The sequence below is a fragment of the Homo sapiens genome, chromosome 3 (assembly GCF_000001405.40).
Source record: "Homo sapiens chromosome 3, GRCh38.p14 Primary Assembly".
NCBI lineage: Eukaryota > Metazoa > Chordata > Mammalia > Primates > Hominidae > Homo > Homo sapiens.
Window position 1 is genome coordinate 186649316 of NC_000003.12, and position 16457 is coordinate 186665772.

Below are 16457 nucleotides of genomic sequence, written 5' to 3' on the forward strand. Positions count from 1 at the left end.
GCAATCTGTTTAGACACTTTTTTTCTTTTTGTAGATTTAGGGATACAAGTGCAGTTTTCTTACATTAATATATTGCATAGCGGTGAAGTCTGGGCTTTTAGTGTATCCATCACCCAAATAGTGTACATTGTATTCAGGGTGGTTTTTGTTTTTTGTTTTTTTTTCTCTTTTTGAGACAGAATTTTGCTCTGTCGCCCAGGCTGGAGTACAGTGGCGCAATCTCAGCTTCCTGCAAACCTCCACCTCCTGGGTTCAAGCGATTCTCCTGCCTCAACAACCCAAGTATCTGGGACTACAGGCACCTGCCACCTCACCTGGCTAATTTTTGTATTTTTGGTAGAGACAGGGTTTCACCCTGTTGACCAGGCTGGTCTCGAACTCCTAACCTCAAGTGATCCTCCTGCCTCAGCCTCCAAAAGTGCTGGGATTACAGGCGTGAGCCACTGCGCCCAGCTCAGGATGATATTTCATCCCTCACCACCCTCTCACCTTTTGGAGTCTTCAGTGTCTGTTACTCCACTTTGTGTCCATGTATACCCTTTCTTTAGCTTCCACTTTTAAGTGAGAACATGTGGTTTTTGGCTTTCTGTTTCTGAGTCATTTCACTTAGAATAACGGCCTCCAGTTCCATCCATGTTGATGCAACGGACATGGTATTATTCTTTTTTATAGCTGAGTGGTATTCCATGGGTGTGTGTGTGTGTGCACACACACACATGCACATCACATTTTAATCTAACCATCCATTGATGGACACAACATCGGCTTCACATATTTGCTATTATGAATAGTGCTGTGATAAATATACAAGTGCAGTTGTCTTTTTCTTATAGTAGTTTCTTTGTTGGCGGGGGTGGGGGGGGGGGGTAAATCACCAGCTGTGGGATTGCTGGATCAAATGGTAGTTCTATTTTTAGTTTATTTTTAGATAAATTTAGTAAATTTTATGTGGATATACTTAAGAGCTCTTCTTTAGAAATTGAGGCAACATTTTATTATAACATTCTATTTATGCTTGAAAATGTACATACAGTATGACTCTAAAATTCCTCTTCTAGGAATTTATTCTAAGGAAGTAACTAGGAATACATGAAAAGATATAGCTTCAATGTTTAAACAACAGAAAAATTAGATTCAATCTAGCTGTCCAACAAAAGAGAGCTTGTTAAACATCACAGAGGAATACTATGTAGCCATTATTTTAAAAACCCTAGAAGATCATTCAATGCCATAAGAGGGTTTTTACAATATATTGTTAAGTGACAAAATAGAGTTATAAAGTAATATATATATAATATGACTCTATTTTGTAGAAGAAAAATGTATATGCATAGAAAAAAAGACTGGAAGGAAGGAAATCAAATCACTGCAGGTAACAAATATATTTCATGCAATTTACAGGTCTTTATTTTCTTTTGTTTATCTATATTCTAACTATTACATTTGTAATAAGGAAACAAAGCTACTTTACTTTTAAGTAAAGAGAAATTTAAGGAGCTGAGAGTGGTTTTGTCTGAGAAGAGAAATGTCAGGTGGAACGCACTTAAAGGGCTGCTATATAAAAGATGAAAACACGTTTTCTAATTGACCCAAGGGTAGAACTAAGGCCAAGAGGTAGAAGTTGTATGGACATAACTTTCCACTCAACACAAAGAATTTTTTTAACAAACAGAGTTTCATTCCTCAAGAAATACTGAGTTTCTCATTATTGGAGGCAATTTAGCCTAATTTGGATGATTTCTTGGTAGGGGTGATCTAGAAAGAATTGACTCAGAGTCTACCTGTTACATAGTAGAAGCATAAAAATGTTGATTGGCTGTGTATCTACACAAGTAGAAAGCTAGTTGATTTCCATCTGTGATCACTGGTAATACTCACATGACATTGTATTTTCTCTTTTAGCCTGTTGGTCTTTGCAAAGGTTCTCTGACTCGAACACACTGGGAAAAGTTTGTCTCTGTGACTTGTGACTTCTTTGAATCACAGGTATTTTTCAATCTAATTGCCTGTCTTTCTGTGAAGAAGAGCAGATTATCGATAGTTACCTGCCACTACCTTACCCCCTCCTTTGATTTTCCCAACCACCTTGCTCACCACTTTGCGCAGGCTAGCCTGAGTCCACATCCACAGGATAGCCAGTCAAAGACCTGTTATGCCTTGTTTCAGTCGCAATATGGTCCTGCAGAATAAGCAAGACAAATTCAGAAACAGGGAACTGCTGGCTTGGATGTGATTCAAGCCTCTGAGACATTAAATTCAGCGTCCCAAAGAAACCTTACCTCAAGCCACAGGGAGAAGTTATTTCCATGAAAATATTCAATCCCTTTCCAGAAGTGTTTATTGCGCACTTATTATAAGGTAGCCTGGTATATTTGAGAGGCAGTTTATATTTGAGGTGTATTTGTGCCTGGTATATTTGAAGCAGTTGAAACAGGACACTTGGGATCCAGTTTTGCTCTGGTACCTGTGAGCTGTGTAACAGGCACACACTTACCTGTTCGAGTTTTGGTTGCCTCATTTATAAAATGGGATTGCGACACTGCATCATTCAGATCCCTGTGAGAAGCAAGTGAAAGGACCTGAATGAAGGGTGCTGTACAAGGCCTGGTGCAGAATAAACAAGCAAGGAAAGGCACCTGCTGCTTCCACTACTGGGAACAGAAAGAGAGCTTGCTGGAGACTTCGAGTGAGTCATTGAACCTCTCTGGGCCATTATTCAGCTCTGAAATTGTGAGACTTACAGTCTCACAGTCAAGCTTCTACAGGTCCTGGTTCCCCCTGGCCCTTATCTGTTTTGTTTTTTAACCCTTTCACCAGGAGGCCCATCCCTCTACCTAGTCTCCCTTTGAAATGTTCCAACAGAAAGGCACAGATCAGCTTAGGCTGGTACTAGGCATGGGAGGACTTTCCCTGTGGAACTCTACATTCAAAAATGTTCTCATTCCAGGCTCCAGCCACTGGAAGTGAAAACTCTGCTGTTAACCAGAAACCTACAAACCTTCCCAAGGTGGAAGAATCCCAGCAGAAAAACACCCCCCCAACAGACTCCCCCTCCAAAGCTGGGCCAAGAGGATCTGTCCAATATCTTCCTGACTTGGATGATAAAAATTCCCAGGAAAAGGGCCCTCAGGAGGCCTTTCCTGTGCATCTGGACCTAACCACGAATCCCCAGGGAGAAACCCTGGATATTTCCTTCCTCTTCCTGGAGCCTATGGAGGAGAAGCTGGTGGTCCTGCCTTTCCCCAAAGAAAAAGCACGCACTGCTGAGTGCCCAGGGCCAGCCCAGAATGCCAGCCCTCTTGTCCTTCCGCCATGAGAATCACACAGAGTCTTCTGTAGGGGTATGGTGCGCCGCATGACATGGGAGGCGATGGGGACGATGGACAGAGACAGAGCGTGCACACGTAGAGTGGCTAGTGAAGGACGCCTTTTTGACTCTTCTTGGTCTCAGCATGTTGACTGGGATTGGAAATAATGAGACTGAGCCCTCGGCTTGGGCTGCACTCTACCCTGTACACTGCCTTGTACCCTGAGCTGCATCACCTCCTAAACTGAGCAGTCTCATACCATGGAGAGATGCCTCTCTTATGTCTTCAGCCACTCACTTATAAAGATACTTATCTTTTCAGCAGTATATATGTGCTGAAATCTCAGCATGAAAGCATTGCATGAGTAAAGATACTTTCCCTAACACCGGGAGGCGTGAGCAACTAATGCCCAGCACAGTTTCAGTCCCTAAATTCCCTTTAATTCCAGGACAGGTATTAGCTGCGTAGGGCCCATACCATTTCCAACCCTCTACCTCTTTTCATCTGTCTGGAAGTCTCCAGGTCTCAACAGTGGGGTAATTCACTTAGAGCTGGAGGCACATAGAAGGGAAGTGCACATGTGGCCTGTGCTAGACACTGTGGGAGCAGCAGACCGTGACAGTTCTCATCACTGTTACAATTTCTCTAGGACAGTTAGAGGAGGGCTCATCACAGCATTCAATTACAGTCTACGTTTTCCTTCTTTCAAACACTGCAGGGCCAATTTCCCCTCATTCAGTGATACCTATGTGCACACGCACACATGCACAGCAGATAAGACTTTGGACATTTTGACAGAGAATTTGCAGATGCAGCTATTGTCCTCTATCTTGGTGGCTGTTAGAAGAGGCACACAGGCCTCAGCATAATTTGCATAAGAGACGTAGACAATGTTCACACTCTGTTCCTCTTATCTGCTTCTCATAAGAAGGAAGTGATTATGTGGGGGTGTCATGTGGGGTCTTACACCGTGTTGGTCAGGGTCTGAAAGAAGCAGAATTGTACTCAGGTGGCTCAACTAAAAAGACTTCAGTTGGCTCAGCGTGCTGGCTCATGCTTGTAATCCCAGCACTTTGGGAGGCTGAGGCGGCCAGATCACCGGAGGTCAGGAGTTTGAGACCAGCCTGGCCAACATGGTGAAACCCTGTCTCTACTAAAAATACAAAAATTAGCCGGGCATGGTGGTACATATCTGTAATCCCAGTCACTCGGGAGGCTGAGGCAGGAGAATCGCTTGAACCTGGGAGGTGGAGGCTGCAGTGAGCTGAGATAATGCCACTGTTCGCCACCAGCATGGGTAACAGAGCTAGACGCCATCTCAAAAAAAGAAAAAGACTTCAGTGAAGGGACCTTTAGTGAAGGCTTGTTGCCCAGGCTAAGGGAAGGCCAAGGGATGCTGAGGCACCTGGACAGCCTTTGCCACCCGAGGCTGAGCAGGAGCAGGAGTGGCTAGCTTCCCCGCTCTGTTGGAACTATCCTGTGGAGAAGCCGCCCTGCAGAAGCCGCCCTGGTGGAGGGATGCAGCCCCTGCAGAACCCGGTGCTGGAACGAGAAGGAGCAGGGAATAAGCACCCTCCCCTCTCCCTCCCTTCCTGTTTCCTTCCAATCTCCTCCTCCCAATGGCTCTTTGAACTCAATGGTAAACTAGCCAGCAGGGAGAGCCTGGGTTATTCAATTCCCTGGAGCCAGCCTGGGAGACAAGACCAGGCAGAGAAAATCAAAGGATGGGCCTGAGGCAAACAGAGAGAAACCATTAGGAGCCTTAGCTGGGGTTTCCCAAGGGGTGTTCTATAAGGCCCTTCTCTACTGGTAAAAGGATGGGGAAGGGCCTCAGACTTTGTTTCTCCTTCTATCTACCACCTCCTTTGTCTTTCCATGGCTTAATTCGTGAAAAACTAGATTGTTCCCATGCTTGCCACTTCCCCACCACCTCTTCATTCCTTAGGTCACAGTAATGTGAATCTATCTCTTTTCCCATAACCCACTGACTTGGTGTTCCCTAACAATCTTTTATTTTAAATTAAAAAAAAAATTTCTGTTCACTTTTACTTACACTTTCAAGCATCTGGCAATGCTGACTTTGCTTGCTCTTCAGATTTTTTCAAGGAGATTGTGTCCCACAGCCTCCAGGTTTTTCTTCTAGCTTTCTGACCACTCCCCCTCATATCCCACCTTGGGCTCCTCTTCTCTGGCTCATCTCTTAGATGCTGTTTCTCTGGCTTTCAGTCCTTGATCTTTTTTTCTTACTCTGCAGACTCAGTGCAGACAAGCTAATCTGCATCCTTGTCAATAGTTGCAAAATGCTGCATTTATTACTGATCTGAGGCTGTTGTGTTCAAGTCATCAGTAGTTTGCAAATTGCTAACACTAATCTTCTACGACAAAATTTCAGGAGCTGAGTATTTCTAGTTATACAATATTAAGAGTTACCTCAGCTGAATGTTTAAAAAGAACATATTCAACAATAGGAAAATGAGCAACCCAATTTAAAAATGGGCAAAACATTTAAAAAAAATGAGATCGTGTCTTTCGCAGGAACATGGATGGAGCTGAAGGTTATTATCCTTAGCAAACTAATGCAGGAACAGAAAACCAAATATCGCATGCTCTCACTTATAAGTGGGAGCTAAATAATGAGAACACATGGACACATAGAGGGAAACAACACACACTGGGACCTACTCAAGGGTGGAGGGTGGGAGGAGGGAGAGGGTCAGAAGAAAATGACTGTTTGGTAGTAGGCTTAGTACTTGCCTGACAAATAATCTGTACTACAAACCCCTGCGACATGAGTTTACCTATATAACAAATGTGCACATGTACCCATTAACTTAAGATAGAAGTTAAAAAAAATAAAAATAAAAATGGGCAAAAGATTTAAACCTCACCAAAAAAAAAAAAAAGGTAAGTGAACATCTGAAATTCTGAACTTCAGTGAACTTCATATGTCATCAAAGAAATGCAAATTATAACAACGAGATATCACTACATATCCGTCAGAATGGCCAAAATCCAGAACACTGACAATACTAAATGGTAGCAAGGATATGGAGCAAAAGGAACTTCTCATTCATTGCTGCTGGGAATGCAAATGGTACAGCCACTTTGGAAGACAGTTTGGCAGTTACTTTCAAAACTTAACATACTCTTATCATATGCTCCAGTAGTCACACTCCTTGGTATTTACCCAAATGATCTGAAAACTTATGTCCATAGAAAAACCCACACATGAATATTCACAGCACATCTGCTCATAATTGCTAAAATTTGGAAGCAACAAACTGTCCTTCACCAGGTGAGTGGATAAGTAAATCCTGACAATGGAATATTATTTGGCACGAAAAAGGAATATGAATATCGAGCCACAAAAAGACATGGAGGAAACTTAAATACATATTACTGAGTGAAAGAAACCAATCTGAAAAGATTAACTACTGTATGGTTCCAACTATATGACATTTGGAAAAGGCAAAATTATGAAGACAGTAAAAAGATCACTGGTTGCCAGTGGTTAGCAAGGAGACAGGGATGGACTATGTGGAGCACAGAGGATTTTTAGTCAGTGAAACTATTCTGTATGCTACTACAATGGTGGATACATTTCATTATACATTTGTCAAAACCCATAGATGTACAACATCAAGGATGCATGCTGATGTAAGCCATGGACTTTAGGTTATAACTATGTGTCAGTGTAAGTTCATCGGTTGTAACAAATGTGCTGCTAGTGTTCAGAGGTTTATAGCAGGGGAGGCTGTGAGCGTGAGGGGCAGATGTAGGGACTACATAGGAACTCTATACTCGCCACTCAGCTGTACTGTCAACCTAAAACTGCTCTAAAAATTAAAGCCCATTTTTAAAGTAAATTAACAAAATGGATACATTAAGCCTGATAAAAACTGCATTTTCTTTAAAAAGTGACTCCTATTACAAAAAAATTAAATGTCATAAAATTCTGTCAACCAGTCTAGTGATTCTCAAAGACATAGTCAGAGATTTACAAAGAGGTCCACTGTAGCATTACTTATAAGAACAAATAATTGGAAACAATATACATGGCCAAAAATTGGGGAATGTTGAATACATTAACACGTACATAACATCCAATATTATGTAACCTCAAAAATAATCTTTCTGAAGAATATTTAATGATCTGAGAAAGTCCTCATGGTATAACCTTAAGGGAAAATACAATATTTAAGCCATATATAACAAGGGATTTTTAAAAGTCCTTCTCTTGGGAAAGAGTTTGGGAGGTAAAGAATGGAGGAAAGAGACTTAATTTTTATTTTACAATATTCTAAAATATTGTTTGCTTTTTTACTTTGTGCAGGGATTGTGTTTATGACTAAAAACTGTATACTTAAAATAACAAAATTTTAAAATCCTATAAAAACACAAAAACATTTATAAAGCTTATATGGTTTCTATTAATACCTGAAAAAAATAGAGGTTATAAGTAAATACATGCTCAACTACAGTGGAGGGAAAGAAACACCTGTATGTACAGAATAATTCTAATGATGCAAAACATATATATTACATATATTCAAATAGCAAAAAGTGTATGAAGCAATTATGCATTATAAATAGTTGGTTTTCCTTATGGTTGTAGAATTAGAGGTGAATTTTCTTTATGCTTTTCGTATTTTCCATATTTTTTGCAAAAAGCATGTGTTCTATTATGAGTCAAAAAGGTTTAAAGAATAAAAATTCTGTTAGCTAACTCTTTTTTCTGATACAATGGTCAGGACACACAGAAATAACCTAAATGCAGAATGAAAATGTGAAGACGGCAGGGCGCAGTGGCTCATTCCTATAATCACACCACTATGGGAGGCTGAGGCGGGTGGATCACCTGAGGTCAGGGGTTCGAGATCAGCCTGACCAATATGGTGAAACCTTGTCTCTACTAAAAGTACAAATTTTAGCCAGGCGTGGTGGTGGGCACCTGTAGTCCCAGTACTCAGGAGGATGAGACAGAAGAATTGCTTGAAACTGGGAGGTGGAGGTTACAGCAGTGAGCTGAGATGGCACCACTATACAACAACCTAGGCAACAGAGCAGGTGAGACTTTGTCTCAAAAAAAAAAAAAGAAAGAAAAGAAAAGGTAAAGATGAAGATTCTACCTGCCCAGTCTGCCCAGATAGTGTCAGGCCTCTGAGCCTAAGCTAAGCCATCATATCCCCTGAGACCTGCACATACACATCCAGATGGCCGGTTCCTGGCTTAACTGATGACATTCCACTACAAAAGAAATGAAAATGGCCTGTTCCTGCCTTAACTGATAGCATTATCTTGTGAAATTCCTTCTCCTGGCTCATCTTGGCTCAAAAGCTCCCCTACTGAGCACCTTGTGACCCCTACTCCTGCCTGCCAGAGAACAACCCCTCTTTTTCCTTTACGTACCTAAATCCTATAAAATGGCCCCACCCCATCTCCCTTCACTGACTCTTTTTGGACTCAGCCCACCTGCACCCAGGTGATTAAAAGATTTATTGCTCAGACAAAGCCTGTTTGGTGGTCTCTTCACACGGACACACATGAAATTTGCTGCCGTGACTCGGATCAGGGGAACTCCCTTGGGAGATCAATCCCTAGTCCTCCTGTTCTTTGCTCCGTGAGAAAGATCCACCTACGATCTCAGGTCCTCAGGCTGACCAGCCCAAGAAACATCTCACCAATTTCAAATCCCGTGAACAGCCTCTTTTTACACTCTTCTCCAACCTCCCTCACTATCCCTCAACCTCTTTCTCTGTTCAATCTTGGTGCCACACTTCAATCTCTCCCTTCTCTTAATTTCAATTCCTTTCATTTTCTGGTAGAGACAAAGGAGACATGTTTTATCCATGGACCCAAAACTCCAATGCCGGTCGTGGACTAAGAAAGGCAGCCTTCCCTTGGTGTTTAATCATTGTGGGGATGCCTCTCTGATTATTCACTCAGGTTTCAGAGGTGTCAGACCACGCAAGGACACCTGCCTTGGTCTTTCACCCTTAGCGGCAAGTCCCGCTTTTCTAGGGGAGGGGCAGGAACCCCGACCTCTTATCTCTGCACCCCGATCCCTTATTTCCATGCCCCAACCTCTTATTTCTGTGCCCCGATCCCTTATTTCCGTGCCCCGACCTCTTATCTCTGCGCCTCAACCCCTTATTTCCGTGCCCTGACCCCTTCTCTGCTTTTCTGGAGGGCAAGAACCCCCCAACCCTTCTCCATGTCTCTACTCTCTTTTCTCTGGGCTTGCCTCCTTCACTATGGGCAAGCTTCCACCTTCCATTCCTCCTTCTTCTTCCTTAGCCTGTGTTCTCAAGAGCTTAAAACCTCTTCAACTCTCACCTGACCTAAAATCTAAGCGTCTTATTTTCTTCTGCAATGCCGCTTGACCCCAATACAAACTCGACAGTACTTCCAAATAGCCAGAAAACAACACTTTCAATTTTTCCATCCTATAAGATCTAAATAATTCTTGTCGTAAAATAGGCAAACGGTCTGAGGTGCCTGATGTCCAGGCATTCTTTTACATATCGGTCCCTCCCTGGTCTCTGTTCCCAATGCAACTCGTCCCAAATCTTCCTTCTTTCCCTCCCGCCTGTCCCCTCAGTCCCAACCCCAAGCGTTGCTGAGTCTTTCCAGTCTTCCTTTTCTACAGACCCATCTGACCTTTCCCCTCCTCCCCAGGCTGCTTGTCACCAGGCCGAGCTAAGTCCCAATTCTTCCTCAGCCTCTGCTCCTCCACCCTATAATCCTTCTACCATCTCCCCTCCTCACAGCCGTTCCGGCATACAGTTTAGTTCTGTGACTAGTTCTTCCCCACCTGCCCAACAGTTTCCTCTTAGAGAGGTGGCTAGAGCTGAAGGCATAGTCAGGGTACATGTACCTTTTTCTCTATCACGCCTCTCTCAGATCAGTCAGTGTTTAGGCTCTTTCTCATCAGACCCCACTAAATGTATACAGGAATTCTGATATCTAACTCTGTCCTACAAGTTAACCTGGAGTGACTGAAATGTCATCCTAACTTCTACCCTCTCCCCAGATGAACGGGAAAGAGTTTTTTCTCTAGCCCAATCTCACGCTGATAACCGCCGGCTTCACGAGCCAGACCTCCAGGAAGGCATTAGAGCAGTTCCCCGAGAAGATCCCCAATGGAACTATCAGACAAATTCCCCAGGTATAGCTAGGTGAGATTACATGATTCCTGCCTACTTGAAAGGCTTAAAAAGGCAGCTTACAAAGCTGTTAATTATGACAAGCTTGAAGAGACTACCCAAGGTAGAGACGAAAACCCAGCCCAGTTCATGGCCGGCTTAGCAGCAACCTTTGGACGCTATACCGCCCTAGACCCAGAAGGGCCAGAAGGCCGCCTTATTCTTAACATGCATTTTATCATCCAATCCACTCCTGACATTAAGAAAAAACTTCAAAAATTAGAATCTAGCCCTCAAACCCCACAACAGGAATTAATCAATCTTGCCTTCAAGGTGTACAATAATAGAGAAGAAGCATCCAGACGGCAACGCGTTTCTGAGTTACAATTACTTGCCTCTGCTGTGAGACGAGACCCAGCCACACCTCCAGCATAGGAGAACTTCAAAATGCCTCAGCCGCACACGCCTAAGCCGCAGCAGTCAAGCATTCCTACAGGACTTCCTGCATCAGGATCTTGCTTCAAGTGCCAGAAATCTAGCCACTAGGCCAAGGAATGCCCACAGCCCAGGATTCCTCCTCAGCCGTATCCCATCTGTGTAGGACTCCACTGAAAATCAGACTCTTCAACTCACCTGGCAGCCACTCCCAGAGCCCCTGGAACTCCGGCCCAAGGCTCTCTGACTGACTCCTTCTCACATTTTCTCAGCTTAGCAGCTGAAGACTGACGCTGCCCGATCGCCTTGGAAGCCCCGTAGGCCATCACGGACGCCAAGCTTGAAGTAACTCTCAGAGTAGAAAGTAAGTCCGTCCCCGTCTTAATCAATACGGAGGCTACCCACTCCACATTACCTTCTTTCCAAAGGCCTGTTTCCTTTGCCTTCATAACTGTTGTAGGTATTGGCAGCCAGGCTTCTAAACCTCTTAAAACTCCCCAACTCTGGTGCCAACTTAGACAGTACTCTTTTAATCACTCCTTTTAGTTACCCCCACCTGCCCAGTTCCCTTATTAGGCCGAGACACTTTAACTAAATTATCTGCTTCCCTGACTATTCCTGGGCTACAGCCACACCTCATTGCCGCCTTTTCCCCCAGTTCAAAGCCTCCTTCACATCCTCCCCTTGTATCTCCCCACCGTAACCCATAAGTATAAGACACCTCTACTCCCTCCTTAGCGACCGATCATGCACCCCTTACCATCCCATTAAAACCTAATCACCCTTACCCCAATCAATGCCAATATCCCATCCCGCAGCATGCTTTGAAAAGATTAAAGCCTGTTATCACTCGCCTGTTACAGCAAGGCCTTTTAAAGCCTATAAACTCTTCTTACCATTCCCCCATTTTACCTGTCCTAAAACCAGACAAGGCTTACAGGTTAGTTCAGAATCTGCGCCTTATCAACCAAATTGTTTTGCCTAGCCACCCCATGGTGCTAAACCCATATACTCTCCTATCCTCAATACCTCCCTCTACAATCCATTATTCTGTTCTGGATCTCAAACATGCTTTCTTTACTATTCCTTTGCACCCTTCATCCCAGCCTCTCTTTGTTTTCACTTAGACTAACCCTGACACCCATTAGGCTCAGCAAATCACCTGGGCTGTACTGCCGCAAGGCTTCACAGACAGCCCGCATTAGTTCAATCAAGCCCAAATTTCATCCTCATCTCTTACCTATCTCGGCATAATTCTCATAAAAACACACATGCTTTCCCTGCTGATCGTGACCGATTAATCTCCCAAACCTCAATCCCTTACAAAACAACAACTCCTTTCCTTCCTAGGCATGGTTAGTTCGGTCAGAATTCTTACACAAGAGCCGGGACCGCACCCTGTAGCCTTTCTGTCCAAACAACTTGACCTTACTGTTTTAGCCTAGCCCTCCTGTCTGCATGCAGCAGCTGCCGCTGCTTTAATACTTTTAGAGGCCCTAAAAATCACAAACTATGCTCAACTCACTCTCTACATTTCTCGTAACTTCCAAAACCGATTTTCTTCCTCATACCTGACGCATATGCTTTCTGTTCCCCGGCTCCTTCAGCTGTACTCGTTCTTTGTTAAGTCCCACAATTACCATTGTTCCTGGCCCGGACGTCAATCCGGCCTCCCACATTATTCCTGATACCACACCTGACCCCCATGACTGTATCTCTCTGATCCACCTGACATTCACCCCATTTCCCCATATTTTCTCCTTTCCTGTTCCTCACCCTGATCACGCTTGATTTATTGATGGCAGTTCCACCAGGCCTAATCGCCACACACCAGCAAAGGCAGGCTATGCTATGGTACAAGCCACTAGCCCGCCTCTTAGAACCTCTCATTTCCTTTCCATCGTGGAAATGTATCCTCAAGGAAATAACTTCTCAGTGTTCCATCTGCTATTCTACTACTCCTCAGGGATTATTCAGGCCCCCTCCCTTCCCTACACATCAAGCTCAGAGATTTGCCCCCACCCAGGACTGGCAAATTAGCTTTACTCAACATGCCCCGAGTCAGATAACTAAAATACCTCTTGGTCTAGGTAGACACTTTCACTGGATAGGTAGAGGCCTTTCCCACAGGGTCTAAGAAGGCCAACACAGTCATTTCTTCCCTTCTGTCAGACACAATTACTCGGTTTGGCCTTCCCACCTCTATACAGTCCGATAGCAGACCGGCCTTTATTAGTCAAATCAGCCAAGCAGTTTTTCAGGCTCTTAGTATTCAATGAAACCTTTATATCCCTTACAGTCCTCAGTCTTCAGGAAAAGTAGAATGGACTAATTGTCTTTTAAAACCTCAGCCACCAACTTAAAAAGGGCTAGAAAAACTTTTACCTCTTTCTTTTCTCAGAAGTCAGGCCTGTCCTCAGAATGCTACAAGGTACAGCCCATTTGAGCTCCTGTATAGAGGCTCCTTTTTATTAAGCCCCAGTCTCATTCCAGACACCAGACCAACTTAGACTGTGCCCCAAAAAACTTGTCATCCCTACTATCTTCTCTCTAGTCATACTCCTATTCACTGTTCTCAACTACTCATACATGTCCTGCTCTTGTTTACACTGCCAGTTTACACTGTTTCTCCAAGCCATCACAGCTGATATCTCCTGGTGGTATCCCCAAACTGCCATTCTTGAAGTAAATAAATAATCTTTGCTGGCAGGACTACGCTGAATCTCCTTAGGCACTCTAATTAGATGTCCTAGGTCTTCCCAATTCTTAGACCTTTAATACCTGTTTTTCTCCTTCTCTTATTCCATTTAGTTTCTCAGTTCATACAAAACCATATCCAGGCAATCATCAATAATTCTAAATGACAAATGTTTCCTCTAACAGTCCCACAATATCACCCCTTACCACAAAATCTTCCTTCAGCTTAATCTCTCCCACTCTAGGTTCCCACGCCGCCCCTAATCCCACTCGAAGCAGCCCTGAGAAACATCGCCCATTATCTCTCCATACCATCCCCCAAAATTTTTGCCATCCCAACACTTTACCACTATTTCATTTTATTTTTCTTATTAATATAAGAAGACAGGAATGTCAGGCCTCTGAGCCCAAGCTAAGCCATCATATCCCCTGTGACCTGCACATGCACATCCAGATGGCCGGTTCCTGCCTTAACTGATGACATTCCACTACAAAAGAAATGAAAATGGCCTGTTCCTGCCTTAACTGATGGCATTATCTTGTGAAATTCTTTCTCCTGGCTCATCCTGGCTTAAAAGCTCCCCTACTGAGCACCTTGTGACCCCTACTCCTGCCTGCCAGAGAACAACCCCCCTTTTTCCTTTACCTACCCAAATCCGATAAAACGTCCCCACCCCATCTCCCTTCTCTGACTGTCTTTTTGGACTCAGCCCGCCGGCACCCAGGTGATTAAAAGCTTTATTGCTCACACAAAGCCTGTTTGGTGGTCTCTTCACACGGACGCGCATGAAAGATACCATCTGTGTAAAGTCAGCACTTCCATCTGAGGCCACTCTCTAGTTCCCATAATGCTAATAGGAACCATCCCCAAAGCCAAATATCACTTACTGGATCAGAGTTCTCAGGACAGAATGTCTCTCTTACTACCATTCAGCTTCCTCCCAACCATTACCATCCCAGCACCCTTAATGTGCTCTCTCCCCTGAAGCTGCTCCAGTTGCTAGAATGGCATCATTAGTACTGTATCACTCTTTAAGATTCAGTAAAGCAACAGGAAGAGGATGCATGACTCCCTGAGGTACTCTGTAGTCTCAGCAGAACAGCACTGTAGGAAAATTATATTCCTGTTCTTGATGCCTCTTCCCATCCCCTCAACATTCCCATTCCTTTCCCTACACCAGCATTTGGTTCACCCAGGACACCCCATTTAGGGTGCAGCCAATATAGCCATAATAGAAAAACTTCATTAAGGAGCTCAACTCATAATAACAAAAACTCAAAATAGTTTTTGTTTTAATCAATAGCTTTCCCCTTCCCCACTGGGTTGGAGCCTCTTAACACCTTGACCAGATTCCATACATTCCTGTCATTTTCTGTTGCACTGGACTGGTCCCATTGGGTATTTAAAAGCCAGGGTTACTGACATTAAAAGTTCAATTGCAAACATTATTCAAAACCTGTTGCACTCATTAACCCTGTGACTTGTGGAAATGAGATCTACTTTTCATACACCTCCCTTTTCTTTCTGTCTTCAAATCCTTTCCCTCTCTTCAGTTCACTCTAGAATCCCAGTAATTCTCAACCTTGACTGCACACACTGGATTACCTAGGAGTTTAAAAACTACCAATACCAAAGTCCACTCCCAGAGATTCTGATTAAATTGTCCTGGAGGAGTCCTTGACATCAGGACTTTTTAAAGCTCCTGGGGTGATTCTAACATGAAGCCGAGTCTGAGAGACATGACTGCAGACTCTCACAGACACTCACTGCGGATAGAACAGGGAGGAATGGAGATGCTGCCTAACTGGCTGTTTCTTGGCAGTGAGGACGGAACCTAGGCTGATTCCCTCTGGTCCCTTCTGATGCTGCTGGCTCTGCTGGTCTGAGGGTTGCATATAGGTATACGGGTTTCTTCTGAAGTGTGAAGGTAGGGGGTCAGCTGTATCATAGCCCAGTCCCCCCCTGCTGATCCCTTCTAACAGTGGGATGGGCATCCAACTATTTGACTCTTACTCTCACCACCATCCTCTTCCACGTGAATCAATTCTTTTTGCAGGGAATTGGGGTGGCATGAGGTGTCCCCAACTTCTTTGCAGGCACACTAATAATAAATAGCATCACTTATTCAGCATCTACTCTATGCCAAGAATTATACTGGTTGCTTTCTTTTTTTCTTTCTTTCTTTTTTAGATGGAATCTCACACTGTCGCCCGAGCTGGAGTGCAGTGGCGCGATCTCAGCTCACTGCAATCTCCGCCTCCCGGGTTCAAGTGATTCTCCTGCCTCAGCCTCCCAAGTAGCGGCGATTACAGGCATGTGCCACCATGCCCAGCTAATTTTTTGTATTTTTAGTAGAGACAGGGTTTCACCATGTTGGCCAGGCTGGTCTCAATCTCCTGACCTTGTGATCAGCCTGCCTTGGCCTCCCAAAGTGCTGGGATTACAGGCATGAGCCACCGCACCCAGCCTGATTTCTTATTTAATTATCACACAAGCCTGCCAAGAGGTATCAATCCATATTTCGTAAATGAGGGAACTATCAGAGAAGTTTTGTTGCTTACCCAGCATTACACAGTAAGAAAGTAATAGAGCCAGGTGAGAAATTCAGATTTGACTTCAAAACGACAGCCTCTTCATTGTTCTATTTTACCTGAAGTCATTCCTTTTATAATGGTACCTGTTTAACATGTTCCCCCGCTTAGATAATGCAGCTGCCTTCTACTGAGGAGTTTTAGTGCCATGATCCATCAGTCCACTGACTGATGATGGAGATTTCCAGCTGAGACAGGCAGGCAGATGGAGGAAAATTACCCCTAGCCCCACCCCCTACACCAACATAGGCACTGCTTATATTCAAAGACGTACTTTAGA

General features: G+C 43.9%; 1 protein-coding gene and 1 long non-coding RNA gene across 11 annotated transcripts in view, besides 2 other annotated features; one reads left to right on the forward strand and one right to left on the reverse strand.

Annotated features, from left to right (window-relative positions):
* Positions 1–3826, forward strand: part of FETUB (fetuin B) — a 17173-nt gene extending 13347 nt beyond the window's left edge. For all 9 annotated transcript variants that reach the window (NM_001375587.2, NM_001375589.2, NM_001375588.2 and 6 more), the window contains 2 exons: positions 1903–1986; positions 2948–3826. In NM_001375587.2, the coding sequence (NP_001362516.1) occupies positions 1903–1986; positions 2948–3316 (453 nt within the window). In that variant the 3' untranslated portion in view covers positions 3317–3826. The remainder of the gene's footprint in view (positions 1–1902; positions 1987–2947) is intronic.
* HRG-AS1 (HRG and FETUB antisense RNA 1) overlaps positions 1–16319 on the reverse strand; it is a 24126-nt gene extending 7807 nt beyond the window's left edge. The window contains exon 1 of one of the 2 annotated variants that reach the window (NR_187317.1): positions 16264–16319. This is a non-coding gene — a long non-coding RNA (HRG and FETUB antisense RNA 1). Of the gene's footprint in view, positions 1–14473; positions 14593–16263 lie in introns of those variants that run through there. The other variant, NR_187318.1, reaches the window with a different exon arrangement.
* Positions 8312–8831: an enhancer, noted in NCBI's record as "OCT4-NANOG hESC enhancer chr3:186375416-186375935 (GRCh37/hg19 assembly coordinates)". NCBI's record gives its function as "activates a minimal SCP1, AML or CMV promoter by ChIP-STARR-seq in naive H9 embryonic stem cells {active_cell/tissue: H9 hESC(naive)}" and the evidence as "EXISTENCE:reporter gene assay evidence [ECO:0000049][PMID:30033119]".
* Positions 13834–14514: an enhancer, noted in NCBI's record as "OCT4-NANOG-H3K4me1 hESC enhancer chr3:186380938-186381618 (GRCh37/hg19 assembly coordinates)". NCBI's record gives its function as "activates a minimal SCP1, AML or CMV promoter by ChIP-STARR-seq in primed H9 embryonic stem cells {active_cell/tissue: H9 hESC(primed)}" and the evidence as "EXISTENCE:reporter gene assay evidence [ECO:0000049][PMID:30033119]".